Source organism: Homo sapiens, chromosome 4 (genome assembly GCF_000001405.40).
Source record: "Homo sapiens chromosome 4, GRCh38.p14 Primary Assembly".
Lineage (NCBI taxonomy): Eukaryota > Metazoa > Chordata > Mammalia > Primates > Hominidae > Homo > Homo sapiens.
Window position 1 is genome coordinate 93,237,782 of NC_000004.12, and position 19,780 is coordinate 93,257,561.

The 19,780-nt window shown below is 33.2% G+C and overlaps 1 protein-coding gene across 18 annotated transcripts in view; it reads left to right on the top strand.

Annotated features, from left to right (window-relative positions):
- Positions 1 to 19,780, top strand: part of GRID2 (glutamate ionotropic receptor delta type subunit 2) — a 1,506,491-nt gene that overhangs the window by 933,816 nt on the left and 552,895 nt on the right. For all 18 annotated transcript variants that reach the window (NM_001440459.1, XM_024454024.2, NM_001510.4 and 15 more), the window contains one exon: positions 590 to 709. In NM_001440459.1, the coding sequence (NP_001427388.1) occupies positions 590 to 709 (120 nt within the window). The remainder of the gene's footprint in view (positions 1 to 589; positions 710 to 19,780) is intronic.

Consider the following 19,780-nt stretch of genomic DNA (forward strand, 5'->3'; position numbering starts at 1 on the left):
GCCAGCACTACCCGTTAAGAGCAAAAACAGATTTCAAGCCTAATTTAACTTTCTTTTATTTTTGATTTGGAAAATATATTTAAAGAAGGGGCAAAAAAATCACCCTCTAATAATCTAGAAACCATGGATTTTAAGATCCCCAGGTATAATTTTAGACCAAATTGAATGGAATTGTGCTAGAACAAAGAAGATTGTTGAAATCTATCTTATATAGATTTTATGCACTCCAGAAGCATCTTGTTTTCAAGATGGATCCATTCAAGTCACAAGGTATGGTGGCAAAAACTTGAGCCTGGAACTTAGTCTGAGCTCTAACATGGTTTCATTTTGAGCAGTCACTTGACTTTTGGGGTCTAAATTTCTGTTTTTATGAAAAATGGATGAGATTGGATTAAGGAATTTCCAAAGTTAGGTTCAACTGTACTCCTGTTTATGCTGTGTACCTATTTTAAAAAGTAGTCTGTTAAAAATTGCTTACTTTAAATATTATTTTATAGATAGAAGTAGAGTTCCTAGAAGTTCCTTTTATGTTTATTTATTTATTTTTTTACTTCTCAAATTTTACATCAGTATCTGTTCTCTCCTTTAGGGTGGAGTTAGTGGGTTGACTGGAGAGCTAGAATTTGGAGAAAATGGAGGCAATCCCAATGTCCACTTTGAAATCCTTGGAACCAACTATGGAGAAGAGCTTGGCAGAGGTGTTCGAAAAGTAAGACAAGACACACTGATTAATACGCTTTTTCCTATACTATGGTTTTGCTTGATTGTTTTCCATGCAGTATGATCACAGTACCCATTAAAGTCAATATTGTAGTGTGAAAGAGAAAGCAGGGGGTGAGGGGAAATTAGGCATTGAAATGACTTTAAATATTTACCAGAAGTATTAAGCAAGAAATTCTATTTCCGACTTAGAATAATGTAAAGGAAAAAAGTAATCTGAATCTTACCTAGGGAAATAGCATCATCTTTCATTTGTTACAATAATAGTTTTTATAAAATAGTAAATTTAATATTTATACACTTTGTAGCTGCTTGGTTTTTAACTTGTAACATGTACAAAATCAGAATAAGAGCTTGGATAAATTTCATATAGTAAGACAGAAAGTCTACTGCAAGATGTGACATTACAGTATTTTACCTTCTGTATGTGTCATGTAATATGTAGAAAATAGTTTGCAGAAAATGAACTCTTGTTGGATACTACTGATCACATGTAAGAAGAAGCTGAGTGCCAATAATGATGTTTCATGAAATACTGGGACAATAACTTTCTCAAGGAGAAATACAAACGCCCTTATATAAATGATGTTTCTATAATTCGGATTTGCTATATATAAATTTTTGATATATATATCAAATATATATATATTTATAGCATTTGATATATATAATATATATATATATAGCAAATCCAAATTATATATATACACATATACACACACACACATATAGATATATTTGGTAGGGAAATAAATCATATATATATCATATAAATATATCAAATCATATGTATATATACACACACATATATATATGATTTGGATTTGCTATCTATCTATCTATGTATCTGTCTATCTATCTATCTATCTATATTTGGTAGGGAAAAACCTAACATAATTGTGTACGCAGAGCTGGTAACTGTAAATTTCTAACTGTCTAAAGTTGATGACATTTAGGGTAACAGGTTCTTCAGTAGGTATTTTTAGTGCTGAGATGTAAGATGCAAAACAACCTAGACAAAATGAAGTGAGGAGTAATTAGCAATACAAATTTCTCAATAAATTCATGCTAATATGGATGAAACTATCTTGATGCATTTAAAATTTTTGTTTTATAGTGAATAATATGAAACATATAGAAAACTGCATAAAACACAAAGTTTAGTGAATTATTTTAAAGGAAAGAACCACTACTGTGGTCAAGAAATAGAAAATAGCCAGGATTCTCAACCCTCCCATATGCTTCTCTCTGATTACCGTCAGACCATCCTTGTCAATAGTGTAATATTTAGACTGATTTTTACGATGTTAATTTATTTGCATTTAAAATATGTTTTTATCACCTGTGTTTACATCCTTATATAATTGTTTTGTCAATGTTTCAACTTATGAATGGTCTCAAGAATGCGTATATCCTTTTCTTCTTGCTTCTTGTGTTCAACAGTGTGTTTATGTTATTGATCCTTGTTGTTACATGGAGTGGCAGTTTATTCATTTATATTGCTGTATTGTTTTCTATTGTATGGATTTGTCCCACACCACTGCAGTTTGTTTCCATTTTTAGACTGCTATAAGCTGCTGTTACAAAAATTCTTGGATATACATCTTGGATACTTTTATGCTTGTAGGTGTATTTCTGTAGGTTTTGTATCCAGAAGTAGAACTGCCTGCAATATAAGAAACCATATCTTGAACTTTACCAGATAACATCAAACCCATTTTCATAGTAATTTACTAATTTACATACCACCAGCAGTGCAGGCATTGCCCCACATTCTAATCAAGTCTTGAATTTGTAAGACTTAAAATTTTATTAACTTATTGGGTGGATATAATGATATATCCTCATGATTTCAATTTACATTTCCCTGATTATGAAACAGTCTGCACCTTTTCCTACATATTTAGGCTCTTCAGGTGTTTCTGAGTTAATTGCTCATTATTTTTTTTTTGGAGAAGGGTGTCTTTTGCTTTTTATAATTGATTTTAGAAGTTATGTATATATTCTGAATTTTAGTGTTTTATCATTTAATTTTTGCCAGTTTTGTTTTCTTCTCTGTGGATTTTATTTCAATGCCATTTATAGTATCTTTAAATTTAGAGGAACTATGAATTTTCATCCTTATTATTATTGCTGTTTAGTATTATCTAAGAAATTACTCCCTATCCCCCAGAGTCATGAATATATTATGCTCAATTATGTTCCAAGGGTTTTACAGTTCTGCCTTCCAAATTAAGGTCTTTTATCTATCTAGAAGTTTTTTTTTTATATATATACGGGGTAAGAAAAAGGTAAAATTTTACTCTTCAATACTCTTCATTTGTTTTATTGAGATATAATTTAAGTGCACAATGACTTAGAGTAGTCGCATTCACCAATTTAACCACTAACCAGGTCAAGTTATTGAATGTTTCTGTCACTCAGAAAGTGCCATTATTCCTGTTTTTATTATTAGAAGCACAGACAGTTTGCTTGGCCTGAAAGTTTATATAAATGGATAAGGTAGTATTTACACATTTGTGTCTTTCTTCTCTCAACATTTAAGGTACATTCTTATTTTCATGTGTCAATAATTTTGCTTGTTTGTCTTTTAATTTATATTGCTGAGTGGTATTATAGTCTATAAATATAATATGGTATCTTCTAAATGTCATTTTCTGTTTGCTGCTGTATATACAAATGATATTTTATATTGATTTTATATCTAGCACTCTTGCTCAGACTTTTAATTCTGATAATTCAACTGTAGATTCTTGTGAATTTTCTGCAAATTGTCTTGTCATTTGCAATTAATAAGAGTTTTTGCCTCTTCTTTTGTTATTTTACACCTTCTAGGGATGATGTTGAATGGAAATAACAGTAGTAGGCATTTTTGGATCGTTATCAATCTCGGAGAGAAAACATTCACCACTATACCACTATACTACTATATATTTATAACTAACTTAGATCAGATTAAGGAAACTCCATACGTTCCTGGGATATGCATAATTTTATATAAAATTGCTTATACATATGTAAAATTATAATTATGCTTATGTTTACATAAAATTATTTGATTTGCTACCACCTTGCATAAGGGTTTTATATTGATACTTATGACTGAGGTTGCCTAAAGCTGTCCTTTCTGTTGGATTTTGAAATTAAGGTATGCTGGCCTAACTTAAATGAGTTAGCAACAAGGCAAAGCATCCAGAACCATGTCTAGTACATCACAAGAAGTTGTGGTTAATTTTCATTAATAACTGAAATTTCAGTAGAGGGGTAATGCCATATGTTTAAATAGCAACAGTAGAAAAGTAAAAAAAAAAAAAAAGTGAGTATGTTTGGGTAGTAATTAAATGACTTTGTGAAGTTGTTGGGAGAGATTTTTTACAATGTAAGAGATTTGAGTATATTTGAATGCTCACAGACCAAGCCAGTAGTGAAGAAGAAAATGAAGATATAAGAAAGAAAGGTGATAATTGATAGCGATACAGTAGGGGAAAAGAGAGGATTGGATCAAGAATTAGATGGAGTACTTAACCATAGGCACCGGGGAACATCATTTTCCAGGGTGATAAGGGGTAGGGGTAAGAAAAGAATGCTGTGTTTGCAAGCAAGTCTTTATGTTTGATGTTAGGAAGTTAAGAAAATTATTAATAAATTGTCTTTGCTTGGAGAAATAGGAGGCAAGATTATCTTCTAATTGGGAAAATGCAGCAGAAGGCATTGGCAATAATGAGACTGGAGGTTTAACAACAGTGGAGAAGTTTCGAAATAGCTGCTGTGGCAAACAAGAGAGGTGACTAGGGAATATTGAAGAAATGCCAGGGAGGGCTATTGGCTCACATGAGGCTAGAGATCAAGAAATCACTGTAGTACTAATCTACACAGTTGTGGATGTTTGTCCAGCAGCATTGAGCAGACTGAATAAATTTAAATTAATGTAGGCTTGAAGCTTCATCGGGTTATTTTTGTTTTGTATTGTGTTGCTTTGTGTTTGATAGCAGTACAACAAGGCAGTATGGTTAAGAACATTGGCAAGGCAATGGTTGAAGTGACAAAGCATAAAATCTAAACTGAACATGAATGGCAATGAAGAAAGGAAGAGTATAACAGAGACAAAGTATGGCTCGAGAGGTTAGTGTGTGTTCAGCACATCTGAAGAGCTTGTATATTAGTATGGATTAAGTGAGAGAGCTTCAGAGCCAGAAATTATGTTTGGGGAGAGAGAGAACTGAATTCATTATCCTAAGGCTGGGTAGGTTCTAGGCACTCATCAAGGGATGTTTGTGAGGGTGGCAGAGGAGAGCTTCATTTAGCCTTCTAAAACCAGTGTCATTTAACGGAGTTCTGAGGTCAATATAGTTGTTTCAACCTGCTCTGAATTCAGAGTTTGTAATTGTTAAATCTCTGCTATTAAAATGATAGTGAATCATACACATTAGATTACATCTACTTTGTCCTTAAGTAATAACTCCTGTAATTATTTCATTTTTTATGTTCCTATGTCCCAACTCCCAAACTGTATTGAAATGTTCTGTGAGCTGGCACTATAGAGGTATTATGAAAGGCACTATAAATATTTATTCCATGGTACCTTGTATACCTTTGACACTTGAAATTTTTTTTGCATTGTTTTACAAATTTAAGCATTCTTAATTTTGAAATTTTCATTTTTATAACTCAATTATTTTTCTACTAAGCTGCAATTTAATTACTAATTTTTTTAAAACTCCAGATCTAACACTCAAGTAATTTTAAAAGTATTATGGATTAATTCATAGCTTGCCAGCTCATTTTATAAATGGGGCAGTTCCTTTGTATAGGTATTAACCCATATAATAATGCTTTCAAAGATACTTATGAAAGGAAAATAACACCACGCAAACAATTGCAATATAGATTTACTAGATGTGTGTCCAAAATGAAGGTTCCACTCCCAGTTTCTCCATGTCTCAAAAGGAGTGAATGGTTTTTCAGTTGACGGACTGTCAAGTTGTCAGTGTTTATTCTGCTGCCAGTGGCTCAGTGTATACAAAGACTGCAGCCTTATCACCTCAAGCAGGGGTATTGTCAGGTCTCATAAACTAAACAGAGTTTTGTCTGCTCAGGATTTGAATGTGTGATGTACCAAGGATTCATAATCCCAAATTTTGGACTAGTCTTTGCTCTCTTGGCATTGTATGAATGATGGTTTCATTTTTTTGAGTTTGGTGAGAATGTGGAAGGGATTATTTGATTCTCACTGATGTTCATCTAAATTAAGGACTTTCTTACTTTGATAATTTTTACATGTTCTTCTATTTTGTCATAAGGTGGTACTTATTTAGCAGATGGTATATCAACATGTTAGCACATTGTATATACCCTTGAAGATAAATTCAGGTAAAACTCAAAGTCAAATTTTGAAATCGCTAAGGTTTTCTATACCCTTAAATTTTGCCCAAGAATGTGGTTATTTCTGTTTCTGTTAGTCACTATATAGAATTTCTAAAAAAAAAATTAATTTGAGCAAAAGTTATTATAAGAAGACATAAAAAGTAAAGATTAAATAACTCTACGTTTAAGGAATCAATATATGTTTTTCATTAGAAGAGTTTTACATAATGTTGTTTGCTTATTTGTCTCATTTTTGTTAAGTTTGCCAGTGCTGCTCACATATTATTGCAGACTGAATTCCAGTATTAAAATGTAATACTCTAGACTTAGTGTCTTTGAACTTTATCACAAACGGAATAAGGCTAGGAAAAGCTGATTAAAGCTGGTTTCACAACCAATCTTAATTGCATAGTAATGCTTAATATCTTCATAAAAGTGTTTTCTCATAAGTTGGTAAAATAAAATGTACGTCAGAGATATTTTACCTCCTAGGTACAGTGGTTTCTCAGATATACTTAGAATCTTTATTCGGGCTCTCCAGCTTTAAATTCACAAAGTCTACAACTTTGTGTTCTTGGGCAAACCTAATGTACTGCTTCGCAAAGGATATTATATTATATAATCTATTAATTAATAGATTATATAATCTATTAATTAATAGATTATATAATCTATTAATTAATAGATTATATAATCTATTATATATTAATTAATAGATTATATAATCTATTATATATTAATTAATAGATTATATAATCTATTATATATTAATTAATAGATTATATAATCTATTATATATTAATTAATAGATTATGTAATCTATTAAAAATACACCAATTTTTAATGGACTAAAATCTTTAATTGCTTTGTACTTATAAGGAGGAGAGAACAGCTCTGCTTTCAAATAGCCAGTGATTAAATATTGCACTTGTATTCAGCATTTTATTTGTATTCTGATTCTGGAATATCTAAAATGACATTTATCTTTTGGTATTACCCTGTTTTATGTTTTCTTAAAGCACTTTTTGCAAACTGATATTATATCAGTCTTTGTAATATAAAACCCAGTTGTAATTTGAGCCCATAATTGGAAAATCTGCCATAGTTATTTACTGTCATAGTTCTAACAATGAATTCATGTCTTGGAAGGTTTATATAATAGAGAGAATCTAGAAAATATTGTGAATTGACAATATAATTATACATATAACTCTTCTATGTGTATATGTAAATATAATTAACTTACTCTTTTATAATTTGTCTTTCCCATTACAATGTTACTTCATGAGACAAGAACTATGTTTGTTTTCTGTTGTATTCCTAATGAATGGCATATAATAGATGCTTGTTAAGTATTTAATGAATGAACTAATGAATACATGTGCATACTGATGTAAGAATCCATAAGATTCTTCTCTGCATCTGTAAGTTTAGCAGCCTTGTTTTTCTTCTATTTACATGAAACATAATTATTTGCATTTAAATTAACCAGAATGTTAGTGGGTGTTACACTCTTTATCCTCAATTCCTATCAGAGTTGGGCACTTGATCACCAAAAGTATAAACAATAATTTTAATGGTTAAGCAAGATATATGTATAATTTGTTTGCAAGAATTTGTTGTGAATAGGGAAATAGTGAGTACTTAAATTGATTATTCCAAGCAAAATGGAAATACCCATAAAAGTACAAGTTTATTCGGACCATTAGTATTTGTACTTTTAAGATTATTGTCTCACAGCGAGACTAGATTTAACAGGCTGTAGTGGAAAAACGTGTAGCCTTTGCTGTTAGACATACCTGGGTTGAAATTCTGCCTCTGTCACTTACTGATTGTTTGATCTTTGGACTTCAAAGCAAATTGAGTTTCAAGTTCTATAATATGTGAATGTAACACATGTAACATGTGAATAGTAATACTTATCTCTCAGGATTTTTGTAAGGATTAATTGAAATTATGTTTGTAGGTTACACAATAAGGGAAAATTAAAATAATACCTGTTCAGAAATATACAGGAATTAACAGAATTCATTTTCAACCCAACACAAGAACTACAAAGTCTAGTTGCTATTCTGACAAGAAGCTGCTATGTGAGGTGGTGAAAGTAACTTGATTTTAGATGTGGTTGACAGAGGATTATACATGACAGTCACAGTGATAGCATGAAACACTAACTTTTTTGTTTCATTTAATGTCCTTTATGGCTCCAAAATTCTACAAGTCTGTTAATCAAGGCTTGGAAACTATAATATCTACAGTTGTATGGAAATCTAATAACAGAAAATCTGATGGTAAACATAGCCTGCATAAACCCAGTCTTTATAGTTTAAGCCCATAATTGGAAAATCTGCCATCTTCAATTACTGTCCTAGTTCCAGCAATGAATTGTGTCTTGGAAGGTTTATATAATAGAGAGAATCTAGAAAATATTATGAAGTAGGGCCTGGCATGGTGGCTCACACCTGTAATCCCATCACTTTGGGAGGCCGAAGCAGGTGGATCACGAGGTCAGGAGATCGAGATCATCCTGGCTAACACAGTGAAACCTCGCCTCTACTAAAAATACAAAAAATTAGCTGGGTGTGGTGGCGGGCACCTGCAATCCCAGCTACTCGGGAGGCTGAGGCAGGAGAATGGCGTGAACCTGGGAGGCAGAGCTTGCAGTGAGCCGAGATTGGGCCATTGCACTCCAGCTTGGGTGACAATGCAAGACTCCTTCTCAAAAAAAAAAAAAGAAAAAAAGAAAAGAAAATATTATGAAGTAATAGTATGTTGTGAACACAATAGCTTTTATTTCTTTATCCCATTCTCCTTTATTTATAATATATAATCATTATACATTTAGCTCCATCAGCTTTTATTCTGATGTGTCTTCAAGAAAATAGCTTGTACCATAAAGTCATGAGATGGATATGCAGTCTAATACTTTCTAACATTACCATTGAGTTAGACTCTCAAAATCATTGATCCCAGCAGTCTCTTGATGGGTAGGGGAACCCTGCACTCTTGAAAAGTATATTCTGTGGACCAAATTGTTTCAGCTTCTTAGGGAGCCTATCTGATTTCACTGCAGAGTAGAGAAAATAACCCGTATCTGCTGATGTTTAGGGTTACTCTGAGTTTCTGGAAGGGTTAGCAGCTGGTTGGTTGAGATCACTTCTGGAGGAGTTCTACCTCAGGTAAGCAGCATTCACTGCCTCTTGGAGAGAATGGGAGCTATCTCTTCTGGTGGTTGGGATCATGCCAACCTCTCCAGTGTGGAGCAAAGATGACTGATGGGGTACAATTCTGTGTCCAAGTCTTGGTGAAAATAGGAACGACTTTTCTAGAAGGACTATAAAATCTGAACTGTTTGCTTGTTGTGATGGTTAATTTTATGTGTCACCTTGACTGGGCTAAGGGGTCCCAAGATAGCTGGTAAAACATTATTTCTGGATCTGTCTATAAGGTATTCCCAGAAGAGATTAGCATTTTAATTGGCGTACTGGGTAAAGATTACCTCACCCATACGGATAGGCATCATCCAATCTGTTGGGGAACTGAATAGAACAAAAAGGCAGAGAAAGGGTAAGTTTGCTCCCTGTTTAAGATGGGAAATTCATGTTCTCTTGCGCTCAGACATGGGCACTCCTGGTTCTCAGGCCTTCAGACTCCAGCTGGGAATTGCACCATCAGCCCCCCAGTTCTCGGGCCTTACACCCAGACTGGGACTGACATCATTGGCTCTCTTGTTTCTTAGGCCCTTGGGTTTAGACTGAAACTATACCACCCACTTTTCTGGTTCTCTAGTTTCCAGATAGCTAATCTTGGAACTTCTTAGCCTCCGTAATTATGTGAGCCAATCTCTCATATCAAATCTCTGTATATGGCATATATTTATATTTAAATATATATTTATATATACATATATTCCCCTGGAGAACCCTGACAATACCTTGGTATGATATCTTACCACGTTTGAGGGAAGAGCTAATTGTGAGGAATTTAGCTACTATTGGCATCCATACTCTCAGAGAACATTCACAGACATGAATATGCTCATAAAGAGACCGAGATAGTCTGTGGTGTCATCTGTAGTCCACATGCTTAGGATTAGTTGGGTTAGGAGTTCAAGACTGTGTCTGATACAGAGGAGGCAAAGTTTAGTTTCCTTCCCACTCTACTAGAGAGCATCAACAGTGGGGCACACTGGAATCTGTGTCACTCCAATATCTAACAGATACACACACACACACACACCAGTGAAGCTCCAGTCCAGCTCAAATTCAACAATATGATGTGGTGGTACTTAACATCCACTGAACAACCTAATTCCTAGTTTCAGCCACTAGTGGTAACTAATGTTCAGGACCCAGTACTATGGTAATAATTATTAAAAGAACTTATATTAGGAATTCACAGAATTAAGAAGCATTTGCTCATATGGGTACTCCTTTAGCAAGATCTCATTGTCATGATTTAATTTTAAGTGACAGATAGTGAAGGTTTATTTCACAGAAATTGCACAAGTGGGCAGACAGTGATAGGAGAGACTCAAAGAGTAAGCCATTCACCCATATGTGTTGGAAGCCTACCACAGACAAATTTATTACATGACAACACTCATGATATGATAGGTTCTGTTGAACCAAAATTCCAGGGGCTTTTCATTACACCTCAAATTTTCTGCTTTCTCTGCTCTCTAAATTTCTCTGTAGTCTGAGAGAAAGATATATATATCTTGTTCTCTCAGGCCTATCTGGACGCCTCAAGGGGATTACACATTCTCTTTTAGCAGTAACTAGGTTTTATATAATTTAAATTTGAATAGTTTTGAGCATTAATTTCACAAAAAGTGCTAATAGAAGTTTCATAGTTCATTTATTTGGCAGGGGGGTGACTCTCATTCAAACTAATGAATATTATGTCCATGTGAGTAATGCATAATTGGAATTGTAATAATGGCTTTAGGTTACTGATGCTTGTATTGCCTCCTATGTCTGTTTTTTCCAGTAATTTTATTTTCCTTCTTAATCAGGACACCTGACCCATTGGAGCTATTTAGACATCACTAAGACATTAGTCCTAATTAAGCTATTCTGTAGTGACTGAAAATTGATTGATACTTGTTCCTTTGTTTTTGGTACAAACTATGGTATTAAGGAAAACTTTTTTGAAACTTTGGGTTGGCTGGGATGCTTACTCTTTCCCATTTTAAGAATTCTGCTTTCAGTTTTCTGCATATGGCTAGCCAGTTTTCCCAAAATCATTTATTAAATAGGGAATCCTTTCACCATTGCTTGTTTTTGTCAGATTTGTCAAAGATTAGATGACTGTAGTTGTGTGGTGCTATTTCTGAGGCCTCTGTTCTGTTCAATTGGTCTATATGTCTGTTTTGTTAGCAGTACCATGCTGTTTTGGTTACTGTAAACTGGTAGTATAGTTTGAAGTCAGGTAGCAAGATGCCTCCAGCTTTGTTCTTTTGGCTTAGGATTGTCTTGGCTATATGGGCTCTTTTTTGGTTCCATATGAAAATTAAAGTAGTTTTTGTTCTAATTCTGTGAAGAAAGCTAATGGTAGCTTGATGGGGATAGCAATGAATCTATAAATTATTTTGGGCAGCATGGCCAACTTCATGATATCGATTATTCCTATCCATGAGCATGGAATGTTTTTCCATTTGTTTGTGTCCTCTCTTATTTCCTTCAGCAGTGGTTTGTAGTTCTCCTTGAAGAGGTCCTTCACATCCCTTGTAAGTTGTATTCCTAATATCCAGAGTCAAAAAGGAACTTAAACAAATTTACAAGAAAAATAAACAACCCCATCAAAAAGTGGGCAAAGGATATGAGCAGACACTGCTCAAAAGAAGACATTTATGCAGCCAACAAACATATGAAAAAAAGCTCATTATCACTGGTCATTAAAAAAAGCAAATCAAAACCACAACGAGATACCATCTCATGCCCGTTAGAATGGTGATTATTAAAAAGTCAGGAAAAAACGGATGCTGGAGAGGATATGGAGAAATAGGAATGCTTTTACACTGTTGGTGGGAGTGTAAATTAGTTCAACCATTCTGGAAGACAATGTGGTGATTCCTCAAGGATATAGAACCAGAAATACCATTTGACCCAGCAATCCCATTACTGGGTATATACCCAAAGGATTGTAAATCATTCTACTATAAAGACACATGCACACATATTTTTATTGCAGCACTGTTCACAATAGCAAAGATTTGGAACTAGCCCAAATGTCCATCAATGATAGACTGGATAAAGAAAATGTGGCACATAAACACCATGCAATACTATGCAGCCATAAAAAAGGATGAGTTCACGTCCTTTGTAGGGACACGGATGAAGCTGGAAACCATCATTCTAAGCAAACTAACGCAGGAACAGAAAACCAAACACTGCATGTTCTCACTCATAAGTGGGAGTTGAACAATGAGAACACAAGGACACAGGGAGGGGAACATCACACACTGGGGCCTGTCAGAGGGTGGGGTGCTGTGTGGGGGATAGCATTAGGGGAAATACCTAATGTAGATGATAGGTTAATGGGTGCAGCAAACCACCGTGGCATGTGTATACCTATGTAACAAACCTGCAAGTTCTGCACATGTATCCCAGAACTTAAAGCATAAAAAAAATAATAATTCTGCTATTGATTTGGGTACTGTTTACTCCAAGGTTTTCTTCTTGACAAAAAAAAAGTGGTATATTACAAAAAAACAAGTAACACATATTGTTGCCATTCCAGAGAGCAAAACTTTTCTACTGAAATCATTACATATATATATATATATTTTATATATTTATATATTTTATATATTATATATATATAAAATGTGCATGCGTATATATGTTTACATGTATATGTGCATATATATAATGTTATATATATATTTATATATATATAAAAAAAGTGTGCATGCATGTATATATATACATAGAAAGAGAGAGAAAGGCTGTGCCAAAACCAGAAACATTCTGTTTGAAAACTGGCCTTCATTTTAAAAAGTATAAAGTCTATTAAAACATGGTTGTGAGTGGATAGTCTGTTTCTTGTTATAGTCCTGGTTTTTGAGGGGAGGTTATTCAAATGTGCAGTATTTTTACTAGGACCTTAAACACATACCCCCTGTTAATGTAAAGATGTCCTTATTTACCTGATGGCAAATATTTCTGAAAATTGAGAATGTCCCCCTTTAGTCATGCCTTTCTTTCACAATATGTGAAACTCTGTGACCTTGCATTCAAGAAACATTATTTCTAGCTATGGAAAATGAATGGAATAACATTTATTTTCTCCTTGTTAGTTGGATAGTTCTGTATTTAAATGTTTCATATTTAAAATTATCTGTGTATTGTTTATCAGAAGTGTGCAAGTAATTTAGACCTTGATGATGAGTAATATTTTGCCTGTGATTTGAAGTAGCTCCTCTCTAGCACTAGCACTCTGATTATTTCTCTCTAATATAACCTCACATGCACAAAAATTTTTGAAGCTCTATTTTTTTAAATGGCAAAAATTGATTTATTTCCAGATATGATCTATAACACTAGGTTATAAAATTCATTTTAAGCAGAGCTTATTTTAAGCAAAACTGTATCATGTTGAATTAATTTGTAACCATATTTGTAAATATTCCAATTTTTTAAACTTTAAAGTTCAGGAGTACATGTGCAGGGTGTGCAGATTTGTTACATAGGTAAACATGTCATGAGGGTTTGTTGTACAGATTATTTTATCACTCAGGTATTGAGACTAGTATCCATTAGTTATTTTTCTTGATCTTCTTTTTCCTCCCACCCACCACCCTCCACTTCCAGGCTCCAGTATGTGTCGTTCCCCTCTATGAATACACGTGGTTCTCATCATTTAGCTCCCACTTATAAATGAGAACATGCAGTATTTGGTTTTCTGTTCTTGGATTAGTATGCTAAGGATAATGGCCTCCTTCCATGTCCCTGGAAAGGATATGATCTTGTTCTTTTTTATGACTGCATAATATTCCATTGTGTATATGTACCACATGGGCATTTAGGTTGATTCCATGTCCTTGCTATTGTGAATAGTGCTGCAGTGAACACAAGTGTGCATGTCTTTAAAATAGAGCAATTTATATTCCTTTGAGTATGTAACTAGTATTGGGATTGCTGGGTTTAGTGGTATTTCAGTCTTTAGGACTTTCAGGAATTGCCACACTGTCTTCCACAATCTGATCCCATTTGTCAATTTTTGCTTTTGCTGCAATTGCTTTTGGTCTTCATCATGAAATCTTTGCCCGTGCCTATGTTCTGAATGGTATTGCCTAGCTTTTCTTCTAGGGTTTTTAGAGTTTGGGGTTTTACATTTAATTATTGAATCCATCTTGGGTTGATTTTTGTATATGGTATAAGGAAGGGATCCAGTTTCAATTTCCTGCATATGGCTAGCCAGTTATTTCAGCACCTTTTATTGAATAGGGAATCCTTCATTTTTTTTTTTTTTTTTTGGTTAGGTTTGTCAAAGATCAGATCGTTGTAGGTATATGGTCTTATTTCTAGGTTCTCTATTCTGTTGCATTGGTCTATGTATCTGTTCTTGTACAAGTACCATGCTGTTTTTATTACTGTAGTCCTGTTGTATAGTTCAAAGTCAGGTAACATGATGCCCCCAGCTTTGTTCTTTTAGCTTAGGATTGTCTTGACCATTTGGCTCTTCTTTGGTTCCATAAAAATTTTAAAATAGTTTTTCCTATTTCTCTGAAGAATGTCAATGGTAGTTTAATGGAAATAGCATTCAATCTGTAAATTACTTTGGGCAGTATGACCATTATAATGACATTCATTCTTTCTATCCATGAGCATGGAATGTTTTTCCATTTATTTGTGTCATCTCTGATTTCCTTGAGCAGCGTTTTGTAGCCCTCCTTGTAGAGATCGTTCACTTCCCTTGTTAGCTGTATTCCTAGGTATTTTATTCTTTTTGTGGCAATTGCAAATGGGAGTTCATTTGTGATTTGGCTCTTGGCTTGACTGTTGGTATATAGGAAATATTCCAATGTTAGATTAGAATAAAAAATTCTGAAGAAACTTTATAGTGTGGCAATTTTACATATAATAATAAAACTCAGGCCGGACGAAGTGGTTTACGCCTGTAATCCCAGCACTTTGGGAGGCTGAGGCAGGCAGATCACGAGGTCAGGAGATCGAGACCATCCTGGCTAACACGGTGAAACCCCGTCTCTACTAAAAATACAAAAAAAAAAAAATTAGCTGGGTGTGGTGGCGGGTGCCTGTAGTCCCAGCTACTCAGGAGGCTGAGGCAGGAGAATGGCGTGAACCCGGGAGGTGGAGCTTGCAGTGAGCTGAGATAGCGCCACTGCACTCCAACCTGAGAGACAGGGTGAGACTCTGTCTAAAAAAACAAAACAAAACAAAAAACTCAGTTCTTACCATAACCAAAATTATTTTTAATTTATGAAATGTGTCTTCAAATTATCTCCTTTGGTGAAAGTTTGAAACTAAGGACTCTGAAAAAGAACATTTAAAAATTATAGATTTACTAGTTCTAATTTTAAAAATTAATATTAGATCGTTTTAAATAAAATTTATTGCTACTTAGATTTTAATTATAATTAATGTAAAATAATGTACAGTTAAAGATTTCCACAATATCAAAAAGGTTTTAACAAAACATGAATGTCCACATTGTTCCTAATCCAAAATTAGTAACCATGTTGAAATCCAAAGATTTACTAAGCATTAAATAAGTATATAAATAACTGAAGAAGTAATACAGACTAAAAAACAAACAACAAACAAATTAATCCATGTCTGTAGTTTCCGTAAGAGCATAAGTGAACACACACATAAAATCTCAAATTCTATCAAAATTTCTGTCAAATTCCAAATAATTCTGAAGGACCCTTTTTCAAGGTGATATTTAAATATTTTTATTCCAAAATAAGGCCTTATTTTTAAGATGCATAGTATTACTATCAATTATTATGTTCATGACACTTAAGGTTGTCGATATAGGTTCCCCGAGTGTTACTATTTCTCTACTTCTTTTCCCTCTGATTTTGTTGAAGCTACAAATATTTTGAGGACCTGTTATTCTGATTTTAAATTGTCAGCATTTCTTCTAGAGTGTTAAATGTCTTTCTAGTAAATTCTCTATAGATTTAATAAATAATCTACCAAAGTTATATAGAAAGCTGAGTTTTTATAGAGTTCTTTTCAATAAGATAAATGTTTGGAGATGGAGATGCTCTTTTTGAGTAATTAGAGTCACTTTTATTAATCATAGTAATTCAGGTGCAAAAAATGGCTTTTACTTACTGGTAGTGAATTTTGATTTTTAAAAATTCAATAAATACACTTTTCAGGGTTATTAAATCCTGTTATAATAGTAAAATAATATTTCTGGATTTTGAAAAATAATCAAAAGTGAGAAATGAATCTCATTTTTAACATAATTCCACAAACAGCTTGGATTAATATAGGTTGTGCTTTGAAATGTTTAACTAGTAAAATGAATGCATCTAGCTGAGTATAATCACCCTGAGTAAGTCACTTGATGCTCATGAAGAGAAAACCACTTATCCACTGAAAACTTTTCCAAGCAATTCTTAATCAGAAACTATGGGGAGTTTTATTGCTCTGGAGTACCTGAATCAAAGTAGTTTTGTGGTTTTAAATGGAATTGTATTTGAAATGCTTTGCTTGAGAATTTCTTCTTTTGATTCTTTCAAGGTTGTTATGAATCTATATCCCAAAATGAGATGAGAAATCTATCAGTGACAGGCTTATGCATTTTAGAATGTCTGATTATAGCCATTTGGAGCTGTAATATGATTTGAATAAGTGCACTTTCATTAAATAAGAGACAGTCTTTTTTAGGATTGTGGGGGAAATTGCATATTTCTTTCTCTCATGTAAAGTGTTACGTTTATGTATACTTTTTTCTTCCAAGGCAAATTGGAAATTGGATAATTATTCTTGGGACAAACAAAGTAATTACAATGCAGGGGTTGGGTTGTCATTCCAACGTGATTTTTATTTATTGAAAGTCATGAAATAAGATTTGTTTCACCTTCTTTTCCTTTCCGTGGTTGTCACATTCTCAGTCTTTTACAAACAAACAAAGAAATTCAGGCCTCCTAAATGCTATTTATTTTCTAGCTGTTGGTGTTAGATAACCTAATTATACAATAGTCTCTTCCAGATATTTTCTTTTTCTTATAGCTTATAGCTCTCGTGTTAGCTGTATCTACTTTAAAAAATAAATACGTGAACATTTTATTCATTCATATACATACTAATGTTTTTCCAAGTAGGCATTATTTTTTCTGATGAATGCGAAACATTTCTGAAGGACCATACATTAAGAAAAAAATTAGCAATCATTTGGTGAAACATCTCTATCTTACATATATATAGTGCCTAAGTTTTGTGGGTTGAATGGCTTTCTTAAAAAAACCTTTAGTTTGTTAAAAGACTAGACTTCTAGTTAGGTATCTTTTCCATAGACTTGTCTTCTCCCAATTCCAAAACCTTTACTTATTAGTGATAAATAGTAAAGGAGAAAACGTTTTTGTTTTGTTTTTGTTTTTCATGTGTTTGCTATGATGTGGATTGGTTTGTCCCCACAAAAACTCATGTTTAAATTTGATCCTCAGGGTGGGGATGTGTTTGGTTCATGTGAGTGGACCTTTTATGAATAGATTAATGCCTTCTCACTGGAATAAGTGAGTTCTCACTCTCGGAAGGCTGGATTAATTCTCATGGGAATGGGTTAGTTCTTGTGCGAAGGGGTTATTATAAAGCCAACACCTTGGGTCTTGTCTCTTTGGACATGTCTACTTCCCCTTTGAACTTCTGCCATGTTGTGACACAGCATGAAAGCCCTCACCAGAAAAGATGAAGGTGCTGGTGTCATGCTTCTTGAACTTCCCAGACTAAGGAACTATGAGCTAAATAGACCTTTATTCCTTATAAATTACCCAGTCTCAGGTATCCTATTAGAGCCCCACAAAATGGACTAAGACACACTGTAAGTACAGACAATCTCTATATAATTACAGTTTTATAGTTATGTTATAGTTTATTGAAGTCCAAGAAAAAATCTATTTTAAAAAACCTTACTTATAAAAATTGCTCACATTTTTCTATAAGGTAAATCAATTCTTTCATGCTTTTCTCTTGAAAACCCTGATTGCTGAAATACAAAATAATTTTTGGCTACACTTCTTCCTATTCTTTTGACTTTCTCCTACAATATTTTATGTAATATTTAACTTTTAGCCTTTTTTTCACTGTCCACATTTTTGATGGTAGAAGTAATATTCCCGTTCATTTTTTCAAGGCTTTCCTTTTCTTTTTTTGAATGGCAACCATGTTTTAACTTACTGAGGACTTCATATTCAGTTTTATCTTATTGTTGCTAACAGAAATATATTTTGATTGAAAATACATTGGTGCACTAGAGAGTGAATTGTAATTTTGGACGAAGTATTTTCAAAATTATGTTATTTAGACAAATAATCATAAGTAGGGTTTTTTAGCGAAAGTGTGATTTTTAATTTTTGGTTTTTTTTTTTGGTCACAATGTAGTCACACAAAAATATGATGGGGCTGTTATATCAATCCCCTTTTCCAAGAAGCCATTTGGGTGAATCATGGCATAGCAAGGTTAGACCTATATTGAGGAACAAAAGTCACAGGTTGCTTCAAGATCATATAGCATCATCCAAAGGTTTTGAGTACTTACTATTGGTAATCTTTTTATAAAGAAAATATGATAGATAGATAGAAATAGAGATAATATAAATATGATAGATGATATGGATATAGACATCATCCACTTGAGAAAAGAAAGATAAATAAATGTAAAAGGCAATATAGACCAAATACATTCTATATTACTAATATGTACTGCGAGGGAAAAGGGTCAAATATTTTTGAATTGAGTTATTCTGTACAGTGTGCTATAGTTTTGTGACAGACATACAAAACAATTTGAAACTGCTTGGGTCTTATGCATAAGTAGTGACATAGCAGGAGATACCAAAATCTAAAGTTATTCAAAACATTAGAGGATTGTGACATACTTTTATGTTGGCTGTATAGTTTTATTAAAGCATCTAATTTAATATTATTTGCTTATTTTTTGATGCACGTGGGACAAAAAAGAAATAGCAGTAATAGCAGGAGAGAAGCAAGAAATCTAACAACTTAACGTTTAAGTCAATAATAAGTAGAAAAAGAAAAATGAAGCTCATTCCGAATGATCTGAAACACAGAAAATGACATATATGTAGTGCCTAGCATTCTAATCTTGTTTATCTGATTTACTTAATAATATCAGCAATAGAAATTGCCTGCAAATATAAGAGATATCCAAGAAATGAACAGAAATTTTGATTGTTTGATACTGTAGCTTGGTTATAGCAATTTAAAGATCATTGAGGTAGATGAATGATGTAGCCCTGTTACATTGTAAAGAGTGATGCATTTCACTTCAGTGCAATGACATTGGGTTTAAGATACCATTCAGTAGAAAATGAAAACCAAAAATTTATTGATTAGTCTACAGATAGTGATTTTTTAAAGAAATGGCATAATTTAAGAAACATTTTAATCATTTTCCTTATACAGACTATTAACTTTACAAATATTGAGATTGTTTCTATAGATAGAAGACATTTAAGCCTACAAGTAAT